Genomic DNA, 7,225 nt, shown 5'->3' with positions numbered 1-7,225 from the left:
CATCCAACTATGAAGAGAGGAAGTCAAACTTTCTCTTTTTTTTAGATAACATGATACTATAAAAAAAGCATCACGATACTAGAAAACCTCATAGTCTCTGCCCAAAGTTTTCTAAATATGATAAACACCTGCAGCAAAGTGTCAGTGTGCAAAATCAACATATAATAATCAGTAGCATTTCTATATGCCAATAACATCCAAGCTGAGAGCCAAGTAAAAGTTGCAATCCCATTCATGGTAGCTACAAAACGAATAAAATACCTAGGAATACAGACAACCAGGGAAGTGAGAGATCTCTATAATGAGAATTACAAAAAACTGCTACAAGAAATCAGAGATGACAGAAACAAATGGAAAAACATTCCATGCTCATGGATAGGAAGAATCAATCTTGTTAAAATGGCTATATGATCCAAAGTAATTCACAGATTCAATGCTATACCTATCAAACAACCAACAACCTTTTTCACAGAATTGGAACAAAAGGATTCTCAAATCCATATGGAACTAAAAGAGAGCCTGAATAGTCAAAGCAATCTTAAGCAAAAAGAACAAAGCTGGAGGTATCACACTACTCAACTTCAAATCATACTACAAGTCTACAGTAACTAAAATAGCATGGTACTGGTATAAAAACAAACACATAGACCAATGGAACAGGTTCCAGAAATAAGGCTGCACACCTACAGCCATCTGATCTTTGACAAAGGTGACAAAAACAAGCAATGGGGAATAGGCTCTCTATTCAATAAATGGTGGTGAGATAACTGGCTAGCCATATGCAGAAGATTGAAGCTGGACCCCTACATTTCACTGTATACAAAAACCAACTCAAAATGGATTAAAGACTTAAACATAAAATGTAAAACTATAAAGACCCTAGAAGAAAATCTAGGAAATACCATTCTGTATATTGGCCCAGGTAAAAACTTAATGATGAAGACTCCAAAAGCAATTGAAAAACAAATAAACAAAAATTGAAAAGTGGGTTATAACTAAACAGCTTCTGCACAGCCAAAAAAAAAAAATTAAGAGTAAACAGACAACCTACAGAATGTGATAAAATATTTGCAAACTATGCATGCAACAAAGGTTTAATATCCTGAATCTATAAGGAACCCAAACAAATCAACAAGCAAAAAATAACCCCATTACAAAATGGGCAAAGGATATGAGCAGACACTTCTCAAAAGAAGACATACACACGACCAACAAGCATATGTAAAAATAGTCAACATCACTAATTATTGTGGGATTGGAAATCAAAACCACAATGAGATACCATCTCACACAAGTCAGAATATCTATTATTAAAATGTCAAAAAATAACAAATGCTGGCATGTTTGCAAAGTAAAGGAAACACATACACTACTGCTGGGAAAATAAATTAGTTCAGCCATTGTGGTAAGTCTGGAGATTTCTCAAAGAACTTAAAATAGAACTACCACTGGACCCAACAATTCCATTACTGGGTATATACCCAAAGGAATATAAATTATTCTACCATAAAGATACATGCACACATATATTCATTGTAGCACTATTCATAATAGCAGAGACATGGAATCAACCTAGATGTCCATCAATAGTAAACTGGATTCAGAAAATGTGGTACATATATACCATGAAATACTACGCAGCTATAAAAAATGAGTTCATGGCCTTTGCAGCAACATGGATGGAACTGGAGGCCATAATCCTACGTGAATTAATGGAGGAACAGAAAACCAACTGTCATATGTTCTCACTTATACATAGGAGCAATATGTTGACTATGCATGGACACAAAGAAGGGAACAATACACACTGGTGCCTATCTGAGGGTGAAGCGTGGGAGGAGGGTAAGGATTTAAAAACAACCTATTGGGTATTATGCTGATTACCTGGGTGACAAAATTATCTTTACACCAAATCCCCACAACATGCAACTTACCCAGGTAAAAAACTTGAAAACTTGCACATGTACTCCTTGAACCTGAAATAAAAGTTGGAAAGAAAAAAAAACAAGTCAAAAAAGAACAGCCCCCGCCCCCGGCCCGCCCGGCCCGAGGCTGCAGCGTGTCCGCCGCGCGGCCTCAGCAGCAGCAGCAGTGGCGGCGGCGGCGGCTGCAGCGGCTGGCGGCCGCGCGGGTGTTTATGTCGGGGTCTTGCGGCAGCATGGCGGACTACCTGATCAGCGGCAGCACCCGCTACGTGTCCGAGGCCGGCCTCACCGCGCAGCAGCTCTTCGCCAGCGCCGATGGCCTCACCTACAACGACTTCCTGATTCTCCCAGGATTCATAGGCTTCATAACTGATGAGGTGGACCTGACCTCAGCCCTGACCCGGAAGATCACGCTGAAGACTCCGCTGACCTCCTCCTCCATGGGCACTGTGACAGATGCCGACATGGCCATCGTGATGGCTCTGATGGGAGGGCTCTGATAGGAGGTATTAGTTTCATTCACCACAACTGCACCCCAGAGTTTCAGGCCAATAAGGTGCAGAAGGTCAAGAAGTTTGAACAGGGCTTCATCACGGACCCCGTGGTGCTGAGCCCCTCGCACACCGTGGGTGATGTACTGGAGGCCAAGATGCGGCATGGCTTCTCTGGCATCCCCATCACTGAGACGGGCACCATCGGCAGCAAGCTGGTGGGTATCATCGCCTCCCGAGACATCGACTTTCTTGCTGAGAAGGACACCATCCTCCTCAGTGAGATGATGACGCCAAGGACCGAGCTGGTGGTGGCTCCAGCAGGCGTGACATTGAAAGAGCAAATGAGATCCTGCAGCGTAGCAAGAAAGGGAAGCTGCCTATCGTCAATGATCACAATGAGCTGGTGGCCATCATCACCCGCACCGACCTGAAGAAGAACCGAGACTACCTCTGGCCTCCAAGGATTTCCACAAGCAGCTGCTGTGCGGGGCAGTTGTGGGCACCCGTGAAGATGACAAATTCTGCCTGGACCTGCTCACTCAGGCGGGCGTCGATGTCATAGTCTTGGACTCGTCCCAAGGGAACTCGGTGTATCAGATCGCCACGGTGCATTACATCAAACAGAAGTACCTCCACCTCCAGGTGATTGCGGGGAACGTGGTGACAGCAGCCCAGCGTGGGCATGGGCTGCGGCTCCATCTGCATCACCGGGGAAGTGATGGCCTGTGGTCAGACCCACGGCACTGCTGTGTACAAGGTGGCCGAGTATGTCTGGCGCTTTGGTGTGCCCGTCATAGCCGATGGCAGCATCCAGACCGTGGGGTACATGGTCAAGGCCCTGGCCCTTGGAGCCTCCACAGTGCTGGCCCTTGGAGCCTCCACAGTGATGACGGGCTCCTTGCTGGCCGCTACCACGGAGGCCTCTGGCGAGTACTTCTTCTCAGACAGGGTGTGGCTCAGGAAGTACCGGGGCATGGGCTCGCTGGATGCCATGGAGAAGAGCAGCAGCACCCAGAAATGATACTTCAGCGAGGGGGATAAGGTGAAGATCACACAGGGTATCTCGGGCTCCATCCAGGACAAAGGGTCCATTCAGAAGTTTGTGCCCTACCTCATAGCGGGCATCCAGCATGGCTACCAGGATATCGGGGTCCACAGCCTGTCTGTCTTTGGGTCCATGATGTACTCAGGAGAGCTCAAGTTTGAGAAGCGGACCATGTTGGCTCAGATCAAGCGTGGTGTCCATGGCCTGCACTCTTAGGAGAAGTGGCTGTACTGAGGACAGTGGTGGAGGCCGAGGTGGTTGAGGGGGCACACCCCAGTGTCCACCTTCGGGCACAGCCTCCCTCCATAACTGAGTGGTCCGCAGATTTGCACTACGGGTTCCCCAGCTCCTTTCCAGGGAGACAGGAGGGGAGGTCCTGAGGGGTCTGGGGTCCCTCACTGGGCATCCCCTGCAGAGTCATTACTGCTCCCTGGGCCAGGCTGCCCTGGGAGCCCCCTCCTTCCCCGCCCCTCCGCCGCCCGCCCCAGTCAGCCGGACTCTCAGGCCCTGAGCCTGCCTCAGGTCTTTCTTGCTGCAGCCTGCTCCAGCCCAGCCCCCACCCCAGGGGCAGACGTCCCATCCTGGCTTCTCCTGTAGGGCACCTCTTTGTCCCCAGCCCCCCAGGAAATTGTGCTGTCCTGGTCCTGCCTCTGGCCCTTCCCAAGCCCCTTCCCCCTCAGCCACGTGGCACTTCTGAACTCCTGACCTAGGCCAAGGGGAGGTCTCTGCCCCCTTCTCCGGCCCTGGGCTACCCTTGGGTCCTGCTCCTCAGGCCACTCCCCTGTCCCTGGCCTTGGGGAGGAGGCTGCCCTGGTCATGGCTGCCTGCCCGTCGTTCCTGACTCACCACTGTCCCCAGGTGTACCATTCCTACCCTCTCCTCAGCTGCAGTTGAAGACTTTAACTTTGCACACTTTGGGATCATAGTTGCGTCATTGTGTATTAATGGAAGAAATCAAGCAGGTCTCAATGCCTCCAAAAAAAAAAAAAAAGAACAGATGTCAGCATGGATGTGGAGAAAGGGGAATGCTTATACACTGTTGGTGGGAATATAAATTAGTTCAACTTGTACACAAAACAGTATGGAGTTTTCTCGGAGAACTGAAAATAGAACTACCATTCAACCCAGCAATCCCACTACTGGGTATACACTGAATGGAAAATAAATATTTTTTTCAAAAAGATATCTGCACTCATGTCTTTTTTTTTTTTTGTTTTTTGAGACAGAGTCTCACTCTGTCATCCGGGCTGGAGTGCAGTGGTGTGATCTTGGCTCACTGCAACCTCCTCCTCCCAGGTTCAAGCAATTCTCCTGCCTCAGCCTCCTGAGTAGCTGGGACTACAGGCATGTGCCACCATGCTCGGCTAAGTTTTTGTATTTTTAGTAGAGATGAAGTTTCACCATGTTGGCCAGGCTGGTCTCGAACTCCTGACCTCAATTGATCTGCCCACCTCAGCCTCCCAAAGTGCTGGGATTACAGGCAAGAGCCACCACGCCCAGCCTGCACTCATATCTTTATCACAGCACTATTCACAGTAGAAAAGTCATGTAATCAACCTAAGTTTCCATCAACAGTGAATTGGATAAAAAAAAATGTGGGTATATATACACCATGAAATATTAAGCAGTCATAGAAAAGAATGAAATTATGTTATTTGTAGCAACATGGGTGGAGCTGGAGACCATTATCCTAATTGACATAACTCAGAAACAAATTATCAAATATCACATGTTTTCACTTATAAATGGGAACTAAACAATGGGTACACATGGACATAAAGATGGAAATCATAGACACAGGGGACTCCAAAATTAGAAATGTTGGAAAAAGGGTGAGAGTTCAAAAATTACCCATTGGGTACAATGTTCACTACTTGGGTAATGAGTACACTAGAAACCCAATCTCGATTATTACACAATATACCTATGTAACAAACCTGCACATGTATCCACTGAATGTAAAATAATAGAAAATTTTAAAAAATTAAAATGTGTAGATAATTTTATATTGTTTATTAATGATTGCACATATCCTTTTGCAAATTGCTTTTTTCTCTCTAGTTATTATAAGTTTTTTTCAGGTTGATGCATATGGATTAGCCCAAGTTCACTGATTGTATTGATGTTTTATATTCCATGGTATAAATATACTATAAATTATTCATCAATTCCTTAGTTGATGAGCATTTATGTTGTTTTCAATTTTTCACTATAAAAATAAATCCTGACATAAATATTTTATATGTCTCCTTGTGCTAATGTGTTTCTCTAAGATATAGCCCCAAAATAATATTTAGGTTAAAGGCTATGCATATTGTCAGTCTTCTAGTTATTGCCAAATTGTATCAATTTGCATTCCGCCACCAGCATATGAGAGTCTTCATTTTTCTGCATCCTAGTCCAAACTAGGTAATGTCAAACTAATGATAGATATAAAACCATATCTTATTATTTAAATTAGTATTTCCCTGATTACTAGTGAGGGTGGTTATTTTTTCATATGTTAATTGACCTTTCAGAGTTCTCCTTCTATGAAATGCTTATTTAAATTCTTAACTTTAGATATTTTATGTTTTTATGACAATGGGACTTTAATTAATTGTTCACATCTTCTCCTAATCCTTAGGATACCTTTTTCTAATTTTTATTTTTTTAAAAATTGATAATATATTAATTTGGCTTAGGTTTATGTAAAAATGTATTCATGAGAAATCTCATTCCTATTCCAGCCCCATTAACCCCACTGCCTTGCAAGCCCTTCATTGATAATCATTTTTCAATTTGCCCTTTTGGTGTTTATTTATTCTTTATTAAAGAATAAAATGAAGAGACATGCACTCACCACTCAACTAAAGAAATACACCATTACCACAACTTAATAAGTTCCTTCTTTGTTCTTCCTAGGTTAATTGCATCTTCTTTCCCATCGCTAGAGATAACCGCTATTATTAGTTAGCTTTTCTTTCTAGCTTACCTTCATTTATGTATTTATTCTACCTTCAAATTTCATTGATGGTTTGTATGAGTATGGGATTCCAGGTTGGAAATATTTCTCCTTCAGTACTTTGAAAATATTAATCCATTTTATTCTAGCTTTAAGTCTTGCTAATGAAACACCTGAAACCTCGTTGACTCATGGTTCTTCAGTGTCAAATGACTTTCCCCTCATTTCTGGAATCCATACGTAGGCATATTTTCACCTATTGTGCTGGGCGCTTGGTGGGTTCTTTCAAAATGAAAACTTGTTTCCTTCTGTTCTGATCAATTTTGTTGAATTATTTCATTCATGATTTCCTCCCCTCCATTTTCTCTCTACTATCTTTCCATAATTCCTATTATTCTGCTTATAAAATAAATGCCTGGACTGTGCTCAGTTTTTTTCTTTTTCACTCCAACTTTCCATTTCCTTTTTATTATTCTAATTTTGGGGAGATTAGCTAAAGGAACTTGAATTCTAGACCCAACAATATCCCAATGATTATCTTGGTCACTCTCTAAATTTCAGTTTCATCAGGTTTAAAAGAAATCAGTTGGCTGTAAGTACATGAGTTTATATCTAGGTTATCATTTCTGTTCCATTGGTCTATGTGTCTGTTTTTAAGCCAGTACCATGCTGTTTTGGTTACTGTTGCTTTGTAGTATGTTTTAAAGTCAGGTAGTATGATACCTCCAACTTTTTTTGTTCATGATTGCCTTGGCTATTCAATGTCTTTTATGGTTGCATACAAATTTTAGGATTGTTTTTCTATTTCTGTGAAAAA

At 43.1% G+C, this 7,225-nt stretch overlaps 1 pseudogene; it reads left to right on the top strand.

Moving 5' to 3' along the window:
- IMPDH1P4 (inosine monophosphate dehydrogenase 1 pseudogene 4) lies at positions 2,029–4,441 on the top strand (annotated as a pseudogene).

This window comes from Homo sapiens, chromosome X (genome assembly GCF_000001405.40).
Source record: "Homo sapiens chromosome X, GRCh38.p14 Primary Assembly".
Lineage (NCBI taxonomy): Eukaryota > Metazoa > Chordata > Mammalia > Primates > Hominidae > Homo > Homo sapiens.
This window is presented reverse-complemented; position numbering and strand designations above follow the sequence as displayed.